This window comes from Homo sapiens, chromosome 16 (genome assembly GCF_000001405.40).
Source record: "Homo sapiens chromosome 16, GRCh38.p14 Primary Assembly".
NCBI lineage: Eukaryota > Metazoa > Chordata > Mammalia > Primates > Hominidae > Homo > Homo sapiens.
In genome coordinates, this window is record NC_000016.10 from 47,433,321 (window position 1) to 47,456,405 (window position 23,085).

General features: G+C 36.4%; 1 protein-coding gene and 1 pseudogene across 2 annotated transcripts in view; both read right to left on the bottom strand.

The window, feature by feature from the left end:
- Window positions 1-23,085, bottom strand: part of ITFG1 (integrin alpha FG-GAP repeat containing 1) — a 306,856-nt gene that overhangs the window by 278,930 nt on the left and 4,841 nt on the right. For both annotated transcript variants that reach the window (NM_001305002.2, NM_030790.5), the window contains exons 3-5: window positions 20,693-20,838; window positions 19,413-19,470; window positions 18,076-18,150 (exon numbers count right to left, since the gene is read on the bottom strand). In NM_001305002.2, the coding sequence (NP_001291931.1) occupies window positions 18,076-18,150; window positions 19,413-19,470; window positions 20,693-20,780 (221 nt within the window). In that variant the 5' untranslated portion in view covers window positions 20,781-20,838. The remainder of the gene's footprint in view (window positions 1-18,075; window positions 18,151-19,412; window positions 19,471-20,692; window positions 20,839-23,085) is intronic.
- Window positions 17,027-17,141, bottom strand: RNA5SP424 (RNA, 5S ribosomal pseudogene 424; annotated as a pseudogene).

Below are 23,085 nucleotides of genomic sequence, written 5' to 3' on the forward strand. Positions count from 1 at the left end.
ATCTGATTTCATATACAAGTCTGGATTTTCAGCTTCTCTGGAAATATCAGAAATATCAGAAGGTCTGGCAACCAACTGGCTTTGTTCAGACAGAGCTAGCGTCTAAAGACAACCCAAGTGTTAATTTTCCCAAATTGCTTCACTCACTCTGGTTTCCTTCCTGGCGCCTAACAAATATGAATTTGCCACTCCTAACAATATATTAATTGCAATCTTGCCATTTTGAACATTTAAAATCAACACTTAAGTTCTTCACAGTATTTTAAGTTTTATACTTATTGCCTATGTTTTGCTATTTTACAGTTACACCTCTTAAAAGGCAGCAGCTGATCCTTAAGAGTTTATTTTATACGGTGTCTATTTACTGTTCTGATGTTTACCAAAGGTGTACAGAAAATGAAAGAACAGTTGTTTCTTTTTGTGGTGCATTTTAAGATGAATAAAAACTGAATATATATATATATATATATATACACACACACACATACACACACGTATAGTTGTCAATAAGAACTAAAGTGAATAAATAAAAACTGAATATATATATATATATATATATATATATATATATATATATATATATATAGTTGTCAATAAGAACTAAAGTGTTAATAGGTTTATAGTTGAAAGTAATATTCATTAATCCTTCTACCGTTGAAGTTGCTCTTTGGAACTGGCTAGCCATATTCAGAAAATGGAAAGTAGACCCCTTCCTTACACCACATACAAAAATTAACTCAAGATGGATTAAAGACTTAAAATATAAAACCTAAACTATAAAAATCCTAGAAGAAAATCTAGGCAATACCACTCAGGACACAGGCATAGGCAAATATTTCATGATGAAAATGCCAACAGCATTACAAGAAAAGTAAAAATTGACAAAGGGATCTAATTAAACTAAAGAGTTTCTGCACAGCGAAAGAAACTATCATCAGGGTGAACTGACAGCCTACAGAATGGGATAAAATGTTTGCAATCTATCCATCTGACAAAGTTCTAATATCCAGTCTATAGAACTTAAACAAATTTACAAGAAAAAAAAAAAACCATTCAAAAGTGGGCAAAGAATGTGAACAGATACTTCTCAAAAGATGACATTCCTGTGGCCAAAAAACACGAAAAAAAAGCTCAACATCACTGATCATTAGAGAAATGCAAATCAAAACCACAATGAGATACCATCTCATGCCTGTCAGAATGGTGATTAATAAAAAGTCAAAAAGCAACAGATTCTGGCAAGGTTGTGGAGAAAAAGGAACACTTTTACACTGTTGGTGGGAGTGTAAGTTAGTTCAATCATTGTAGAAGACAGTGTGGTGATTCCTCAAAGACCGAGAGGCAGAAATACCATTTGATCTACCAATCCCATTACTGGGTATACACACAAAGCACACATATGTTCCTTGCAGCACTATGCACGATAGCAACGACATGGAATCAACCTAAACCCTTGTCAATGATAGACAGGATAAAGAAAATGTGGTACATGTATACACCATGGAATATGGAATATGATGCAGCCATAAAAAGAATGAGATCATGTCCTCTGCAGGGACATGAATGTAGCTGGAAGCCATTATCCTCAGCAAACTGACACAGGAACAGAAAACCAAACATTACATGTTCTCACTTATAAGTCGGAGCTGAATGATGAGAACACATGGACACATAGGGTGCGGGGAACAGCACAAACTGGGGCTTTTGAGAGGCAGAGGCTTGGAGGGAGAGCATCAGGGAAGAATAGGTAAGGGATGCCGAGCTTAATACCTAGGTGATGAGATGATCCATGCAACAAACCACCATGGTACACATTTACCTGTGTAACAAACATGCACATCCTGCACATGTATCCCTGAACTTAAAAGCTAAAGAAAAAAAGTTGCTCTTTGTACAAATTATAGTTTTTCAGCAATAAAAAGCAGATACCATATTTTTCAAGCAACTGAACTCACATAAAGTATAATATTTTCATATATGTGCCCAACTCCATTTGAAGGCTAAGGTCACACATAAAAACTGCTCTGATTACAAAAAAAGAGAAACAGAGGAAAAAGTGGGTCATTCTAAGCCACACTGAGTGTATCATTGACATTTCTTGACCTCTGTAGAAAATTCCAATTACTAGCTTTTCCCGCACAAGAAACAAAATTATATCAAAGTTTTCTAATTTGTGGGCATCATCACCCTTAATCTCAAAGAATGAATTTGTCAAAGAATGAATTTAAATGTAATTAATGTCAGCTGTAGCTTTTGGTTGCCTGTGGTAACTGTTCTTCATATGACTGCTAATCCACCCACTTTTGAATGATCAGCTTATATTGAATTATCATTATTTAAGTTATCCAGGTAAAAGCAGTTACTAGGAGATGGTTCTGGCATGAAGAAGAATCTACTTCTCCAGGCTGCCTAGTTCTTTAGTCCTGCGGTCTTCAAACATCTTTGCCCAGATATGCTTCGAAAGAATTTTGAATGCTGAAAAACTATATACCAGCTAACACATTAAATAATTTCTAAGAAAACAATCTAAACGTTTTCATCAGCACAAATAGCTGCAAAATAGGTAATATTTGAATCTATTATAATTATTAAAATTTTAAAATAAAATGATTACTTTAAAAATGCATACAGTGGAATATAAATATAATTGAATTGTCATCCATCCCCCATCATCCACAAAAGAATTCCAAAACAAAACAAAAAAAACACATAAAGGTCTACTTGAATATTCAGAAATTGTACATCTTTCCCTTTTATCCTTGAACTTGTACTTCCATTCCATTTTTCTCAGAAAACTTTATCATGATGTAAAATGATTTTATATGTGGATTCTTTTTAGTGATGGTTCTGGGATAATTCTCCAAACAAAAAATTCATCTATGAACTATCATATAAAATAAAGTTTGTATACATATGTAACAAACCTGCACGTTGTGCACATGTACCCTAAAACTTAAAGTATAATAATAATAAAATTAAAAACAAATCAGCTAAAAAAAATAAAGTTTGCATTTAATTGGTTTTGCTCATGGATCTCAGCGTTTAAAAAAACTCCCTTTGAAGTTGAATTATTTAAACTGTCAGCAAACAATTGATGAAAATACATTTTATTAGTTTGATAATTAAGCCAAAGGTAAAATTTTATTGGAAACGCATTTTTAAGAGTGATGAACAAAGCTTTAAAATATATTAGTTTATTTATCCTTAAAATAATATGCATTCTTGCTAGAATGAGACAGTATCCAGGCATACAGTCTACTCTTACTTTTCATTTTCATAGATGTAAATGCTAAGAAATCTTGCTCATGTGAAAAGGCAGATTAGAATGAAAAAAGGTTTATTACAGCAAGGATTCTCAGTTTTTTGAACCCCTCTGTAGTCAAATATAAAAAAATCACAGTTACTTATCAACAAAAATAACTTTCAGTGCTCTATCCATTAGGTCTTCTTCCTTTAAGCTGTTCAAAGTAAGCAGCTGGAAAGCCCCTGAGTTGTAAAAGGATGCATAATCAATTCATTAGACCCATTTGCTTCTCAATTTTTGAGAAGTAAACCAAAGGCATTACAAACGTTTATCAAATAACTATAAGCACCACTAAAAAAATAACTATTAGCTATACCAATTACTCTTCATTTAGAGGCACCTCATTTAATCAAGTAAAAGTAGGCTAATAAAGGGTTTGAGAAATCTTTTTATTGTATCTTTGCCAATAATATACGGTTTAATAAAATATTTCTACTTTTTTTATGCTTTAATATATTTTGATCAAAATATTCCTGGAAATGTAATATTAAGAAACTATTCTTAGTTTTTTAGGTGTGATGAACATGTTGTGATTATGTATTTTTGAAAACAAATCTTTAGGTGGACACAGTGGCTGGCACCTGTAATTCCAGCTACTCAGGAGGCTGAGGTGGGAGGATTACTTGAGCCTAGGGGTTCAAGACCAGCCTGAGCAATATAGTGAGATCCTATCTCCAACAACAATTTTAAAAAGTTAGTCAGGCATGGTGGCATGCATCCATAGTCCCGGCTACTCAGGAGGCTGAGGCAGGAGGACTGCTTGCGGCCAGGAGCTCAAAGCTGCAGTGAGCTATGATCGTACCACTGCACTTCGGCCTGGGTGACAGAGTGAGAGTCCATCTCCTGAAAAAAAAAAAAAAAAGCCTTATCTCTTAAGGATATATGTTGAAATATTTATAGATTCAAAATGTCCAAGGTGTAAAAAAAGGAAAATGGAAGAAAAGTTGTGGATGAAAAAATAACTGGGTATGAGCTGGTAACTGCTGAAGCTGGGTGACAGGTACATTCTATTAGAAGCATACTCACTGTCTCATTCAGCTATCTTTCTACATGTTTGAAATGTTCCATAATAAAATGTAAGGAGTTGGGGTTGGAGCCAAGATGGCCAAATAGGAACGGCTCCAGCCTACAGCTCCCACTGTGAGTGACGTAGAAGACGGGTGATTTCTGCATTTCCAACTGAGGTACCGGGTACATCTCACTGGGGAATGCCGGACAGTGGGTGCAGCGCACCGTGTGTGAGCAAAAGCAGGGCGAGGCATCGCCTCACCTGGGAAGCGCAAGGGGTCAGGGAATTCCCTTTCCTAGTCAAAGAAAGGGGTGACAGATGGCACCTGGAAAAACGGGTCACTCCCACCCTAATACTGTGCTTTTCCAACGGGCTTAACAAACCGCACACCAGGAGATTACATCCTGCACCTGGCTCGGAGGGTCCTATGCCCACAAAGCCTCACTCACTGCTAGCACAGCAGTCTGAGATCAAACGGTAAGGCCACAGCGAGGCTGGGGTAGGGGCGCCTGCCATTGCTCAGGCTTGAGTAGGTAAACAAAGCGTCCTGGAAGCTCAAACTGGGTGGAGGCCACCACAGCTCAAGGAGGCCTGCCTGCCTGCCTCTGTAGGCTCCACCGCTGGGGGCAGGGCACAGACAAACAAAAGACAGCAATAACCTCTGCAGACTTAAATATCTCTGTCTGACAGCTTTGAAGAGAGTAGTGGTTCTCCAGGCATGCAGCTTGAGATCTGAGAACAGGCAGACTGCCTCCTCAAGTGGGTCCCTGACTCCTGAGTAGCCTAACTGGGAGGCACCCCCCAGTAGGGGTGGACTGATACCTCACATGGCCGGGTACTCCTCTGAGACAAAACTTCAGAGGAATGATCAGGCAGCAGCATTTGCGGCTCACCAATATTCGCTGTTCTGCAGCCACTGCTGCTGATACCCAGGCAAACAGGGTCTGGAGTGGACCTCTAGTAAATTCCAACAGACCTGCAGATGAGGGTCCTGACTGTTAGAAGGGAAACTAACAAACAGAATGGACATCCACACAAAAAACTCATCTATACGTCACCATCATCAAAGACCAAAGGTAGATAAAACCACAAAGATGTGGATAAAACAGAACAGAAAAACTAGAAACTCTAAAAATCAGAGCACCTCTCCTCCTCCAAAGGAATGCAGCTCCTCATCAGCAATGGAACAAAGCTGGATGGAGAATGACTTTGACGAGTTGAGAGAGGAAGGCTTCAGAAGATCAAACTACTCCGAGCTAAATGAGGAAGTTTGAACCAATGGCAAAGAAGCTCAAAACTTTGAAAAAAAATTAGACGAATGGATAACTAGAATAAACAATGCAGAGAAGCCCTTAAAGGACCTGACAGAGCTGAAAACCACGGCACGAGAACTACGTGACGAATGCACAAGCCTCAGTAACCGATGCGATGAACTGGAAGAAAGGGTATGAGCGATGGAAGACGAAATGAATGAAATGAAGCGTGAATAGAAGTTTAGAGAAAAAAGAATAGAAAGAAACGAGCAAAGCCTCCAAGAAATATGGGACTATGTGAAAAGATCAAATCTACGTCTAACTGGTGTACTTGAAAGTGATGGGGAGAATGGAACCAAGTTGGAAAACACCCTGCAGGATATTATCCAGGAGAACTTCCCCGATCTAGCAAGGCAGGCCAACACTGAAATTCAGGAAATACAGAGAACACCACAAAGATACTCCTCGAGAACAGCAACTCCAAGACACATAATTGTCAGATTCACCAAAGTTGAAATGAAAGAAAAAATGTTAAGGACAGCCAGAGAGAAAGGTCGGGTAACCCACAAAGGGAAGGCCATCAGACTAACAGCTGATCTCTCGGCAGAAACTCTACAAGCCAGAAGAGAGTGGGGGCCAATATTCAACATTCTTAAAGAAAAGAATTTTCAACCCAGATTTTCAAATCCAGCAAAACTAAGCTTCATAAGTGAAGGAGAAATAAAATACTTTACAGACAAGCAAATGCTGAGAGATTTTGTCACCACCAGGCCTGCCCTAAAAGAGCTCCTGAAGGAAGCACTAAACATGGAAAGGAACAACCGGTATCAGCCACTGCAAAAACAAGCCAAACTGTAAAGACCATGAAGGTTAGGAAGAAACTGCATCAACTAACGAGCAAAATAACCAGCTAACATCATAATGACAGGATAAAATTCACACATAACAATACTAACCTTAAATGTAAATGGGCTCAATGCTCCAATTAAAAGGCACGGACTGGCAAATTGGATAAAGATTCAAGACCCATCAGTTTGCTGTATTCAGGAAACTCATCTCACGTGCAGAGACACACATAGGCTCAAAATAAAGGGATGGAGGAAGATCTACAAAGCAAATGGAAAACAAAAAAAGGCAGGGGTTGCAATCCTAGTCTCTGATAAAACAGACTTTAAACCAACAAAGATCAAAAGAGACAAAGAAGGCCATTACATAATGGTAAAGGGATCAATTCAACAAGAAGAGCTAACTATCCTAAATATATATGCACCCAATACAGGAGCACCCAGATTCATAAAGCAAGTCCTTAGTGACCTACAAAGAGACTTAGACTCCCACACAATAATAATGGGAGACTTTAACACCTCACTGTAAACATTAGACAGATCAACGAAACAGAAAGTAAACAAGGATATCCAGGAACTGAACTCAGCTCTGCACCAAGCGGACCTAATAGACATCTACAGAACTCTCCACCCCAAATCAACAGAATATACATTCTTTTCAGCATCACACCACACATATTCCAAAATTGACCACATACGTGGAAGTAAAGCACTTCTCATCAAATGTAAAAGAACAGACATTATAACAAACTGTCTCTCAGACCACATTGCAATCAAACTAGAACTCAGGATTAAGAAACTCACTCAAAACCGCTCAACTACATAGAAAATGAACAACCTGCTCCTGAATGACTACTGGGTACATAACGAAATGAAAGCAGAAATAAAGATGTTCTTCGAAACCAACGAGAACAAAGACACAACATACCAGAATCTCTGGGACACATTCAAAGCCGTGTGTAGAGGGAAATTTATAGCACTAAATGCCCACAAGAGAAAGAAGGAAAGATCTAAAATTGACACCCTAATATCACAATTAAAAGAACTAGAGAAGCAAGAGCAAACACATTCAAAAGCTAGCAGAAGGCAAGAAATAACTAAGATCAGAGCAGAACTGAAGGAGACAGAGACACAAAAAACCCTTCAAAAAATCAATGAATCCAGGAGCTGGTTTTTCGAAAAGATCAACAAAACTGATAGACCGCTAGCAAGACTAATAAAGAAGAAAAGAGAGAAGAATCAAATAGACGCAATAAAAAATGACAAAGGGGATATCACCACCGATGGTACAAACTACCATCAGAGAATACTATAAACACCTCTACGCAAATAAACTAGAAAATCTAGAAGAAATGGATAAATTCCTCGACACATACACCCTCCCAAGACTAAACCAGGAAGAAGTTGAATCTCTGAGTAGACCAATAACAGGCTCTGAAATTGAGGCAATAATTAACAGCTTACCAACCAAAAAAAGTCCAGGACCAGATGGATTCACAGCCAAATTCTACCAGAGGTACAAGGAGGAGCTGGTAACATTCCTTCTGAAACTATTCCAATCAATAGAAAAAGAGGGAATCCTCCCTAACTCATTTTATGAGGCCAGCATCAACCTGATACCAAAGCCTGGCAGAGACACTACAAAAAAAGAGAATTTTAGACCAATATCCTTGATGAACATTGATGCACAAATCCTCAATAAAATACTGGCAAACCGAATCCAACAACACATCAAAAAGCTTATCCACCATGATCACGTGGGCTTCATCCCTGGGATGCAAGGCTGGTTCAACATACGAAAATAAATACACGCAATCCAGCATATAAACAGAACCAAAGACAAAAACCACATGGTTATCTCAATAGATGCAGAAAAGGCCTTTGATAAAATTCAACAACCCTTCATGCTAAAAACTCTCAATAAATTAGGTATTGATGGGACATATCTCAAAATAATAAGAGCTATCTATGACAAACCCACAGCCAATATCATACTGAATGGACAAAAACTGGAAGCATTCCCTTTGAAAACTGGCACAAGACAGGGATGCCCTCTCTCACCACTCCTATTCAACATAGTGTTGGAAGTTCTGGCCAGGGCAATCAGGCAGGAGAAGGAAATAAAGGGAATTCAATTAGGAAAAGAGGAAGTCAAATTGTCCCTGTTTGCAGATGACATGATTGTATATCTAGAAAACCCCATCGTCTCAGCACAAAATCTCCTTAAGCTGATAAGCAACTTCAGCAAAGTCTCAGGATACAAAATCAATGTGCAAAAATCACAAGCATTCTTATATACCAAAAACAGACAAACAGAGAGCCAAATCATGAGTGAACTCCCATTCACAATGGTTTCAAAGAGAATCAAATACCTAGGAATCCAACTTACAAGGGATGTGAAGGACCTCTTCAAGGAGAACTACAAACCACTGCTCAATGAAATAAAAGAGGATATAAACAAATGGAAGAACATTCCATGCGCATGGGTAGGAACAATCAATATCGTGAAAATGGCCATACTGTCCAATGTAATTTATAGATTCAATGCCATCCCCATCAAACTACCAATGACTTTTTTCAGAGAATTGGAAAAGACTACTTTAAAGTTCATATGGAACCAAAAAAGAGCCCACATTGCCAAGTCATATGGAACCAAAAAAGAGCCCGCCTTGCCAAGTCATACAGAACCAAAAAAGAGCCCGCATTGCCAAGTCAATCCTATGCCAAAAGAACAAAGCTGGAGGCATCACGCTACCTGACTTCAAACTATACTACAAGGCTACAGTAACCAAAACAGCATGGTACTGGTACCAAAACAGAAATATAGACCAATGGAACAGAACAGAGCCCTCAGAAATAATGTCGCATATCTACAACTATCTGATCTTTGACAAACCTGACAAAAACAAGCAAAGGGGAAAGGATTCCCCATTTAATAAATGGTGCTGGGAAAACTGGCTAGCCATATGGAGAAAGCTGAAACTGGATCCCTTCCTTACACCTTATACAAAAATTAATTCAAGATGGATTAAAGACTTACATGTTAGCCCTAAAACCATAAAAACCCTAGAAGAAAACCTAGGCATTACCATTCAGGATATAGGCATGGGCAAGGACTGCATATCTAAAACACCAAAAGCAATGGCAACAAAAGCCAAAATTGATAAATGGGATCTAATTAAACTAAAGAGCTTCTGCACAGCAAAAGAAACCACCATCAGAGTGAACAGGCAACCTACAGAATGGGAGAAAATTTTTGCAACCTACTCATGTGACAAAGGGCTAATATCAAGAATCTACAATGAACTCAAACAAATTTACAAGAAAAAAACAACCCCATCAAAAAGTGGGCAAAGGGCATGAACAGACACTTCTCAAAAGAAGACATTTATGCAGCCAAAAAACACATGAAAAAATGCTCATCATCACTGGCCATCAGAGAAATGCAAATCAAAACCACAATGAGATACCATTTCATACCAGGTAGAATGGTGATCATTAAAAAGTCAGGAAACAACAGGTGCTGGAGAGGATGTGGAGAAATAGGAACACTTTTACACTGTTGGTGGGAGTGTAAACTAGTTCAACCATTGTGGAAGTCAGTGTGGCGATTCCTCAGGGATCTAGAACTAGAAATACCATTTGACCCAGACGTCCCATTACTGGGTATATACCCAAAGGATTATAAATCATGCTGCTATAAAGATACATGCACACGTATGTTTATTGCGACACTATTCACAATAGCAAAGAGTTGGAAACAACCCAAATGGCCAAAAATGATAGACTGGATTAAGAAAATGTGGCACATATACACCATGGAATACTATGCAGACATAAAAAATGATGAGTTCATGTCCTTTGTGGGGACATGGATGAAGCTGGAAACCATCACTCTCAGCAAACTATCGCAAGGAGAAAAAACCAAACACCGCACGTTCTCACTCATAAGTGAGAACTGAACAAAGAGAACACATGGACAGAGGAAGGGGAACATCACATACCGGGGACTGCTTTGGGGTGGCGGGATGGGGGAGCGATAGCATTAGGAGATATACCTAATCTAAATGACGAGTTAATGGGTGCAGCACACCAACATGGCACATGTATACATATGTGACAAATCTGCACGTTGTGCACATGTACCCTAAAACTTAAAGTATAATAATAATAAAATAAATAAAATAAAATGTAAGGAAAAAACAAAAAGAAATTTAGAACTGCTGATCTAGTTCATTCAATTTACAGAAAATATCTGCCATATAACGTAATTCACAAAGCCAGTCCTTCCTATAAAAGCTGTTTCCAAATGAAAGTCATTTTCTGCGAGAATGAGTGTGACCTTGTTTTTTATTTTCAATTCAAATAAATGTGCTAATATGTGTTTCAAGGAATATTATAAAAACTGCTGAGAAATGACTCAATGTATATTGTAGGACACATTGTTAAAAGCAGTCAAGAGTACAATAATGTAAATCAGATAAAACTGATTTATCTACTTTTATAAAATAGGTTATAAAAATAAGATTGTAAAGCAACATGCTATTTCTCATTAATTAACTTACAGCAATGCAATATAATGCAGCTAAAATAATTTATGTTACAAGAAATATGATAAAAGATGTAATAGCTCTTCAGTAAATTTATGTGCATAGTCAACTCTGGGGTCTGGCTTTTGGAGTACTTAGTGTATTGAAAAAAGAATAACACTATGCCTTTCTCATTTTATTAAACATGACAAACTTTTCCTATGAATTTAATAAAAGAAAAAGGTATATACTGTAAAAAATTATTTGGCTCAGAAGCCAACATGTAAATTTATATATTAGGTGATAGTATTATTACATTAACAGGATACAGAAAATAGTAAAAATAAAATTTCATAAGATAAAATAAGATGCTTCACTTTAAATGGAATTTTCTTGATATGATTTTATAAAATATGCTACATTATAGAAAAAGATACCAAATATACAACAAATTATGCAAAAGCTTTATCTACGAATTTGATGGTCCTAGAGAATATTCCAGTCACATCTGCAACAATCATTTTACCTTCCAAAATCACTTTGGCATGAAAGTTACCTTCTTTCCAATTAATGATCTGTCCTGGGATACAGTGCTAAGAACAGTTATAAGATCTGCTTTTTGGAAATTGGTTTTTCTTACAGATGCTCTCTTTTCTTTGCTCTCCCAAGGGTCTCTCTCAACAATAATGGATTTTTTGACAATACTCACGTAATGAAATGGCAAAGTCATTAAAACAAAAACTGTCATGCTACCACAACCCCACTCCAGTGCATCCGAATTCAGAATACATCAACATGGACCATGATGTCTGCTTTTGTATGCAAGCTTCATGTTAAGAGAAATGTACATTAAAAAAAAAAAAAAAAGAAAAACTGGAAGTTCTATTAGTTTGAGATATCTTAGTTAATTATAAGAGATTCCCCAGGCCGGGCGCGGTGGCTCTTCCTGTAATCCCAGCACTTTGGGAGAGCGAGACTCCGTCTCAGAAAAAAAAAAAAAAAAAAAAAAAAAAGATTTCCCCCACGTTTGATATCTATGGGTTTTCACATCCCAGCAAATCACCATTAGTAAGATTTAGGAAATGTAAGGAAGACAGCATTCTCATGTGAAGGAGAAAGTTATAGTGAAAACAGGTACACTCTCAGGCACATGAATTTTAGCTAAGAACACCTATGAAGCCTGAGATTCTAGAAGTTGACATGCTTAAAATGATCTGTATTTCCATATTTCTTTGCAAGTCTTTACTTATGATAAAGTAAACAAACACAGGCTAGCACATTGTGTTTTCAAAGATGGTCACATTATTTCCCATCTCACATGCTCTTTTGCATTCAATTTTGCCGTGCCTATATCAGGAGGTAGAGTCTATCATCTACTAACTCCACTTAATCTTAGCTAGTCCCATGACCTATTTTGACCAAGAGAATATAAAAGAAATGACACTTGTTTAACTTCCAGGATTGGATCTTAAGAGACATGCAGTTTCTGCCTATGTTTCATGGAATGCTTTTGAAAAGCACCCATTATGCTACAATGAAGTCCAAGCTAGCCATGGAGAGAGAGGTGGAGGCCATATGAAGGAGCACCACCAAAGGCCCCCTGTGACTTGTACCCCTTGTACCCCTGTGATGGTACAAGAACGAAGGCAAAAGCACAGCCTTTAGAACTTGGAAGATCCAGATTCAATTCCCAGATTTAGCATTTATTTACGTATTTGTGAGCCTGTGGTAGTCACTTAATCTTTGAATTAGACTCTTAAGTCACTGTTAGCCACACAAGCTATCTGTTGTAAGAAAGAAAAAAAAAAGAGGCAACTGATGTTAAGTGCCAACCCCAGACTTACTTGATAAACATTTAATGAAACAACAACAAGCTTGCTTGAGATACTCTTTGTTCTCTTATTTCCCTATCCAACTCTGAGCCTCCAAAGGGACAGATAAGCTGTACAATTCCGTGGTGTGCCTCCCCAGCAAGATACACAGAAGACTGGGAAAAGCATCACTAGAGAACAAAGTCACCCTGGTAAATTCCTCATGAATCACTCACTCTGGGCTTCAATGAGAACTCAAAGGTGCAGTTCTGGATAAATCTTAAGGACCTCTCAGCAATAATGTCTCAGGTACATAAGAGAAAATACGAAGATTTCTTACATAAGAGAAAACATGAAGATTTCTTTCAGTCATGTTTTATTATACTTTGTCCCAATGTTTCTACCTTCCTAGGGGGTGCAACAGTAAGACTACACCTAAGAGACAGCACTGACTACTAATACAGGCAAATACAGTGGAAGAACAGGCAGTCTGAAAAGAAGCACGCGTCCCACAGTTGAACGCACACCTCCAGTCAGGACTACTGTGAAACTCACTCAGGAGCTAGAACTCAGAGCTTAGGCCTCCAGACTGATAAAAATCAAGTATTTGTAAGGCATTTTCAACAGTGTATACACTTTGAAAAAATGCAACTAGAATCTAATGAAAGAGGACTTAATCTATATTTTCAGAAATTATGATTCTGATTCATTTCACCCTAAATTGAAATGGTAATAGATACTAATCTTACTCAAAGCCTGCTATATACATGGATTTTTCAACTATACTGGTTTTTTCTTTTTTTTTTTTTGAGATAGCGTCTCACTCTGTTGCCCAGGCTACAGTGCAGTGGTGCAATCACGGCTCACTGCAGCCTGGACCTTCCTGGATCAACAATCTTCTCACCTTAGCCTCCCAAGCAGCTGGGACCAGAGGAGTGCACCATCATGCTCGATTAATTTTTTCTTTTTCTTTGTATGTAGAGATGGGGTCTCCCTGTGTTACCCAGGCTGGTCTTGAACTCCTGGGCTCAGGTGATCCTCTTGCCTCATCCTCCCAAAGTGTTGGGATTACTGGCATGAGTCACTGCCCCTAGCCTATACTAGTTTTAATACATACACAGGTATTAACAGTAATGAAATAAAGCAAAATGGTTTCTCCCCAAACAAGGAAACAAAGTTTTAATACATTCCAATAAAAGGAAATGTTACTATCAATTTTTTTTGCACAGAAACTGTAACACTATACTTTTCTCAAAAGAAGATGATCTTTCTGAATTACAAATATACATCTAAAAATTATTAAGATTTAACTAAAAGGTGAGTAAATTTTGATAACATCTTAAAACCATTTACTTAGAAACAAACAATTTCACTTAAATATAATACTACCAATCAGAACATAAAATAAAGCAGTATAAGTCACCAAGAAATCTGAGGTAATTAACTTTTAAATTTTTATTTATTTATTTATTTTGAGACAGAGTTTCACTCTGCTGTCGCCCAGGCTGAAGTGCAGTGGTGTGATCTTGGCTCACTGCAACCTCTGCCTCCCAGGTTCAAGCAAAAATCTGAGGTAATTTAATTGACCCCTCCATCACATCTGGTGGGACTATAGGAAATAAAATTATAGACCCTTAAGAAATGAACATGCCACTTGAAATAACCACCATATAAGTCATCTGCTAAAAGTTTTTCACTGTTTCTGCAGTTTAACTTTGAAAAGAAAAAGGTTAGGGTGAGAAACACTGGGAAAAGAAATTAATGTATCTCTAATAGCACAGTTCCTTTAGGAAAAGAGAAAAGTTAGAAAACTGATGTAACGTTTCCATGGAAATACTGATTAGAAAAAAATACCTGATCTCTCAGATTTTAATAGATTCCTTTTAACAATAGTATTAAAAATATGAATGTTGTATGGGATGAGAGGGAGGGTGCTGCCAGGGGAATCTGAAGAAAATATAAATGATCTCAAAGTTATCTTTTTTTGTTATGGGTATTAACGCTGATTACAAAGTCAAAAGCTGCCTTGAGTATTATTTGGTTTTATTTTGTGTTATAAACCTCATCATAATTTTCATATTCTTACTAAACAATAGATTTAAGTGATACAATGTCACACTTCATTAAAACAAATATTTATAATATTTTCTGTAATGTATCAGCAAACAAACAAAATCAACAGTAAAACTGAAGGGTGATTTAATAAATCAGTCATTGGTTATAATGTGAGAAAATATGAAAGGCTAAATGGAAAAATGCAGATTTATTTCTTCTGGATTGATAGTAGCTGACTACATTTAAATAGAGAATACAGTTTTTTTGATAATGGAGGGGCAAAATCTACCCACACAACAGTTAAAAATGATTGCTTTCAGTGCTACTTATACCACATTCAATATTTTCATGCGATCACTTGTGATGTAAACAGTGTACGGCAAAGTATATATCTGTCACATACCTACATTAATATCTCCAAGTATACAACTTGGGCCTGACCCAGAACGTATTTGAACTCAGTACGTGAGTCAGAAAATTTTTTTTTTTTTTTTTTTTTTTGAGTCAGAAAATTTTAACAGACCAACATTATATTTGGTTTTGACTAAAATTACAGGTACAAGTGTTTTCACTTCAACATTAAAAACAATATTCTGAATGAGTATGCAACATCAGTTTCCAATGTCCTCTTATAGAAAATGCTCATTATCAATAACGTCACATCACTGCAGAAGCTGCTGTGACACTTAACAGCTAGGTGTTATTTCTAAGTAATATGGCACATTATTACATTATTTCAAGTCATTATAAGTGAAGTTGAAGCTCAAACTGAAGTCTCACCTTTGACCATTTAACACACTTCAATTACCTCCTGAACCTCATTAGATGCAGTGAGTGCCCTTCCTGTCCCTGTTAGATAACCCCACTGTACCAATTATAAGGAATTCTTCTGCTTATCACCACTGCTGTTTAGACTGATCATCTGCACCTTTAGTCCAGCCAAACTGGTTGTGCTATCTCAGATTTGCATGTCTGCACTAAGCCAGGTTATAGCAAGGGCTTTCTGCTATAATTCTACAGAAGCATTTCACACTGAATTTAAAGATCATTGCATGCTTCCCAAACCAAAGCGCTGGTCAAATTCAATTAAAGATAATCTTGGGTTTGGCATATCCATAAAGCATAATATTTAAGTTGTAAAAGGTAGATTTCTTGATAAATAAAAGATTAGGCTGCCAATCAAGGTCACGTGAATAACCCAAAATGTCAATGCTGATGACTTTTTCACTTACTCACCTATGTACATATCTTATCTGTTGTTTATAAAACTGACATTGCTTAAACGTAGTTTTCATATTTTAGTAACATATTAATATTTGCTGCCACAGGGGCATATTCAGCTTTCTGTTGTCTGAACCATGATATTGTTAGACTACAGTCATTCTAAACAATGCAAATTTCTGTCAGCTTATATATCTTCAAACTGGCATCAGGACAAATCTTAGATGCAAACTTATCACTTAGATATGGTTAGCTACTATTGTTTAATTTGTAACTGAGGTTCAAATGACAGATATCCTAAAATACCAGAGTATTATTACTCTAGTATATTGGACCAGAATATAACATATAAAAAATAAAGTTGGACATGTCTTCAGGCATGATGTTTTAAAATCTGAACTTGTTCATGAAGCAGAGAAAAAAAAATCTAATATAGAATTAAGAACAAATAAAGAAGCTATGGCACAATTCCATAATATTCTAAATAGTTTTCTCGCAGATTAAGTAAAAAATCTGTACAGGTAATAGAAGTTTTATTAATACTTTGTGAATTATCAACAATAGCTGTTTCACTTTCAATTTCTAAAGGTCAAACTACATCAGATTAAAGATATTCCAATTATTTCCCTGACTAAAGTGAAGTTACCACAAAATAAAACAGGCCAGAAGTCACCATCACATCCTCAATCACATGCCTGCCTTTGAAGAGAGGAAAAGAAAGGACAGGGTTTTCTGAGCAGTCCCCATTTGCTGTGGAAGGAGCGGAGTGGTGGTGGGGAGTGGACTGTGTTTTCCCTGCACCCCACCTGCACTCAATTCCTCTTGGATACGGCCACAAAAGCAAATCAGGATCTCCTTCCAATTTGTCTCTAAAGCAAGACTCTCTTCAAGATATTTTTCAAATTTTGGAGAAAAAAACAGGTTTCTCATTCAGGATTCACAATAATTATTTCAAAGTTCACTATTACTAGCATCAAAGCACCCATATTCTTTATTAAAAACCTACAGAAAAAGTAATAGGTGATCTCCCATCCAAGCACTAACCAGGTCTGACCTTGGTTAGCTTCCGAGATCAGAAGAGATGGGGCGCGTTCAGGGTGGTATGGCTGTAAACCAGAAAAAGTAATAGGAAATGTTAAAGTGTCTCTTCAGAATACCTTAAAAATTTTCACAATTTACTCCTCTGCATACCTACAAATCACATTTCAAAAATGAATCATAAAAACAAACTATTTCTATAAAACACAAAGAGAAAAGTCACTAGAGTTCCAAGTAGCTGGGAAAGACAGATTGATAAGGGTGGTCCTTTGTACTTTCAGAAAGACAAAAAAGTAAATAAATGTGTTCTGTACTCTTGAACTAAACTTTACCTTATCAGATACAGAAAAAAAATTAACCGGGTTGAAGGTATCTTATGAAAAGTATCTTGCTATCAGGAATTCTTGTGCTACGAGACCAGTTCTATTTAAATCCAGAGTAATTACAATGGATATCTTGGAATTGCAAGATTCCAGGCACTTTTCCCTAAGAATTGCATACTTAGATAGTAAGAGAGGCCTAGCACACATACTGGTGAAGGACAATGTATTCACTGACAAGTTTCCAGAGCTTAGAGGAGTGCTTATATTACTAGACCGTTATTGACTGCTCACTGAACAAATGACAGAAAGAAACAAATCTTATCAATTAAAGTCTAGCAGCTAACATGACTAAGGTACTAAGATAGGGAGGATCCACTCAAGACTGCAGGTATCCTCCCTATTTACGTGAAATCTATCCATTTCAAAAACATTTAATGAACCAATATTTAAATGGGGACCCGTAAAGTTTCAATCTCTAATTTTTCAAAGAGATAAAAGGAGTAAGCTGGCCCTTGGAAAGCAGGTGCAGGCCAAATCCAAACTATTTGAGAAAGCTTATATATATTAACCAAATGCCCACTTAAAAATCTTTAAAAACAAGGATTCCAATGAGCTATTTTTTCTCCAATGGTTAAAGTAGAAGCAATATATACGATTAATTACATAGTTATAACCATATTTACTCACCCTCCTAATAGTATCTGTGGCTGGTTGGATTCATTTGTGATACCAAAAATATCAGGAATTAGATCACCATTGAAACTGAAAAAAAATTAAAACAATAAGCAGCTATTTCTTTAAATTCTTACTTCTAATTTAGCTTTAAAAGAAGCAGTAACTTTTGGGAAGTGTGGTAGACATTACAATGCTCGCCAGTATCTAGTGATAAGTATTAAGTCAAATGTCAGCACAAGTGACATGTGTCACTTTTAGGCCAAAGTGTATAATTTCTGTTACCAGCCCCTCCAGCCCTCTCCAGGCTTGCCATGGCAATGAGAAGGCATTGTGATTCAGATGGACTAGCTACAAAGACAGTGGGCTCTCTGATGGCCTGACTCTAAGCAACAGCACAGAGCAGAGCCTGTTGTTGACCCACACTGGACATATAGTAAGAGCAAGAAATAAATTCGTTTTGTGAGATTTTGGGTATCTCTGTAATCTTTGCATTATCTAGACTACCCTTGAATGATAAGGATACAGCACTAATTCCTAGAAACTTACTTCAGAATCCTAAGCCAACTTGTTTACTTAGATGGGCTTAGGAGAAATAACCTAGAAAAATAATCCTAGTTGGTATAAAACTTCATACTGGCCATTGAATATTTTAACAACAATGAAAAAATACACAACTATGAAAGAAATCTAGCGGGGCACCGTTAAGAAGATTAATCCATGGATTTACAGTTCAGACTTCTAATGGCCACTGACACACTGCTGTATGGGTATGATTTTAATAACTGTAAGAAAGACAGTACTGGAAACAAGAATGTGGCCAAACTTTGCTCTAGTCCCGGGAATGATCTCGACCTCTACCAAAATACGCTGTCAGAAATTTGCAAATCCAAATTTACATCAATTATTTAAATCAATTATGCTGGTACATGAGTCTACAGTGAGAATATAAATGATAACACAAAGCAGGAGTTATATTATAAAAAGAACAAAAATTTCTCCTTAATATAGGAATCTTTCTAAATTTCTAGAGGAAACTGTATCCTAAATATCAAATATAACAGTTTTACTCAAAAACAGGTATCTTAATTCTTTCAGTAATGACAGCATAGATCCATAATGGACACATTTGAAGCGACTGAAATAAAAACACAAATCTCTTCTACTTTCCAAAATAATAAATTTCATTTTTCTTTGTCCTATCTGATGGCAAATAAATACAATATAATCAAAGGTACAGGCCTCTGAGTGAATTTAGTATTTTTATTACTAAGCAAAGTAGTTTCCTATGTGAAGATTTTATTTTATGTTTAAGTTTAAAATCGTTTCAAAGGAAGCAAGCCCATACTTACTCCATAATTAGTGGCTCATCTTGAAAAGTCCTATTGAGTATGGTCATATTGTTAGGATCTGCAAAAAAGATATATATATATATGAATTAGCAGGCATTTTATATTACTTTTGATATCTATGCTTAGGAAAAAATATTCTTCTACTCTTTTCTAGATTTATCTCTGATTTATTCCAACTATTATCATTAATGAGATACTATAAATCTAGTTCAAATGAACATCAAGCTTGCAAAGACAAAATATTGGGAGAATACATTCTACAGTGAAGACTAGCATTACAATAACCTCCTTTTGAGGTATGCATCTAAATATTTGCTAGCTGAGTCTTTGTCTTTACACAATTTAGTGCTAGAGAGGTTGACAATTAACAAGGTTTTGGTGTAAAGAAGGCCACATATGCAAAACTTCCTGGTTCTAAAATGTACATGCTTATATACAAGCTTTGTGCATGGTACTCCCTCTGTAAATATTTATTGACTTAATGAATATAATGTATCGCGATTACTGTTTACATTCCCAAATGGTGCAGAAAACATGACTGAAATTTGGCTCCATGAACAAAGTTGCCTATTTAGGTATAACTAATTGGCTTTTCAGATAAGGCTTGATGATTTGTGACTAGGTATGGTAGACTGACTCTCGAACCATACTTCAACTTTTTTGTGCTTTCCTGTGCTAAGGAGACTAGAAACCAAAAATAGCATTTTCCAGATATTGTGGCATCTGAGATGCTGAATAAAAGTTAAGCCTTGCCAATCAGATACACTGTGAGTCTTAAAGGCATGAATGAGGTAAAGGCTGTTTCTCTGCTATTTCTATCTGTGTCTGCTCACTGAATTTGGGAGTATCAAGAGACCAGGTGCAGCATTCATTTTGCTAGTGAGAATCACTGCAGGCACAGCATCATTCTGGCAGCAGTTGTGTAACTAGCCACTTCTGATAGGGGAAAGAGGCAGTAGCTTTTTTGATGATATTGGGATTGCTCCTGAAAGCTCAACCTAGAGTTTATTCTTTAGCCATCTCAATGATTCTGTGAGCCACTAAAATCCTTTAATAAATCTCTGTCCTCTTTAAGCTAGTAAGAATGAAGTTTGTCAGTAGAAGTGATCCCTGCCCAGTTCAGGGTTGAAAAAGAAAAATCAGGAAATAAACTTTGAAAAAAGGTTTTACAATTATTGACACCCAAGAACAGTATTTTTGAACTGATTTCAGAACAATATTTTGTTACATTTACCTTCATATTCAATGATAAATATTAAAAATTTTTAAAACAAATTCACCTAATGTTTGATTTTGTCCCCAGAAGATAACAGCTCCTAATTCACTCTTGGCATAATTTTTGGGAAGATATGTCAGAAGGACATCCATTTGAGAATCTCCATCATAATCCCCAGGGACTACACTTGTTATCAATGCACTGTGATTCCTAAAAGAAACAAGCATTTACAAATATCAGACAAGTTGTAATGGAAAAGGACAATTCTGTATTTCTACCACACAAAAATATTTTCAATGAAAAACTTAAAACTTAACAGAACTGACTGATTGCCTTCTCTTTCCTATCTTTTCATCCATCATGTATTTAGACCTCTTTGGTCTAAAAAAGAGTTCAGAATGAATGCAGAATAGTCTCAAGAAACAAGACAAATCTGAAATATGTCGAGAGAAAACGTGTTTATTATGTTCAAGCAATGGCTAGTATAGCCCTTCTATATAGTTCCTTTGTCAAGGACACCAAGACATTCGGATGGTGTTTCTAACAAATGGAGGCTCATAATTGCCAAAGCAGTAAGCATTATCACTGGGATGTTTTCAATTAAAAGATATTATTTATAAAATATTTAGTTTGGATTTTAACATAAATTCAAAATTTACAGTAAAAATTAAAAGAATCATTTTATTTCTGAAAGCTAGTAAATTAAGAATGGAATTTTTTTTAACGAAACTTGGCAATCAATATAGCATCCAAACATATATATCTAACTTTATATGTATATTTTTATTTTTTCCTTTTCATAGGTATTGATATATTTTTATTAACAAAATAATTCTAAAATTATTTATATGAATCTTGAAAGCTTAACGTCCTGCAGTCTTATTATCTGAGCGACCCAAGCAAAAATTAGGCCTTTAATTCATTTTATACTTAATTCTACTCAGATGAAATAGCAAGACAGCAAATTTCCAATTAGACTATAGATAATTACTTTCTTAATGCATCAGTGGTAGTTCTTTCTCCCTCTCACTCAGCAAGGTAAGAACCAAGTGGTGTATTTCTGGAAAGTCTCAGGAATTAAGGATTTAAATTACAGTAATGGGTAAGGTTTTGGCCTTAAGCTAGACACAGGAGTTAACCAAAAGTCTACAAAAGGAACAATTTAACCCTTGCCCACAGCTCTACCCTATTTCTAGAATGTTAGTCTGTCAAGAACATACATGCAGGGCAAAAGATAGTAGACTAGTCCCACTAGGCAATACATTTCCAATTATTTCTTTTGCACCTTACTTGAAAATGTGAGTAGACACCTGCCTTCTGAAGAAAACTTTGACTATTAAAGAGAGCTAAAACAAATAGCAATAAGGAACCTGAAGAAAACAGAACTAATGCAACAAAAGAAAACTTCAAAATTACACTTAAGAGAAAAAAGTCTGTCTATAAAAAAAAAAACAAACCAACAACAGTATGCTAAAAGACAACATCAGTAAGAAAACAAAAGAAAAACCTCGGAAATTAAAAATGTGACACCTGGCTGGGCGCGGTGGTTCACGCCTGTAATCCCAGCACTTTGGGAGGTGGAGGTGGAGGTGGGTGGATCACTTGAGGTCAGGAATTTGAGACCAGCCTGGCCAACATTGCAAAACCCTGTCACTATTAAAAATACAAAAAGTAGCCAGGCGTGGTGGCGTGCATCTCTAATCCCAGCTACTTGGGAGGTTGAGGCAGGAGAATCGCTTGAACCCAGGAGGTGGAGATTGCAGTGAGCCAAGATTGGACCATTGCACTCTATCTAGCCTGGGCAACAGAGCAAGACTCCATCCCCCACCAAAAAAAAAAAAAAAAAAAAAAGGACTTAGAATTTAAAAGAGAAAGTTGAGAAAACCTCCTGCAAAGGAAAATAAAACAAAACTAAATGATAAAAATAAGAAACAGATAAGATAAAGGAATAAAGGATGAACCCAGGCAGACTAATCAACTGATAGAAACTCCTAAAAGAGACAAAAAAATTTTTCAAAGAAATATTTAATAATGTAAGAGTATTTCAAAAAGCTCCCAAGGATAGAGGCCTCTAGCTTGAAAGGGCCCACATAATGCCTAGCATAATAAGTAAAGAATAATCATTCCTGTAATTGCAGCACTTTGGGAGGCGAAGGTGGGAGGACAGCTTGAGCCCAGGATTAGGTGCCTACAGTGAGCTATGACTGTGTGACTGCACTCCTTTTTCACCTGGGTGATAGAGAAAGACCCTGTCTTTATCAAAAAAGAAAAACAAATCTATACCAAGGCACATCATCATGAAATCAGAACAAAATAGAAAAAGAAGAGACTCCAATAGCTTCCAAAATTAAAACAATTTACATTTAAAAGATTAGGAGAAAGAAGAGGGTTGAATTTTAAAACTGCAACCCATGAAGCTAGAACACAATAAGCTAACCAAACTTTTAAGAGTGGGTA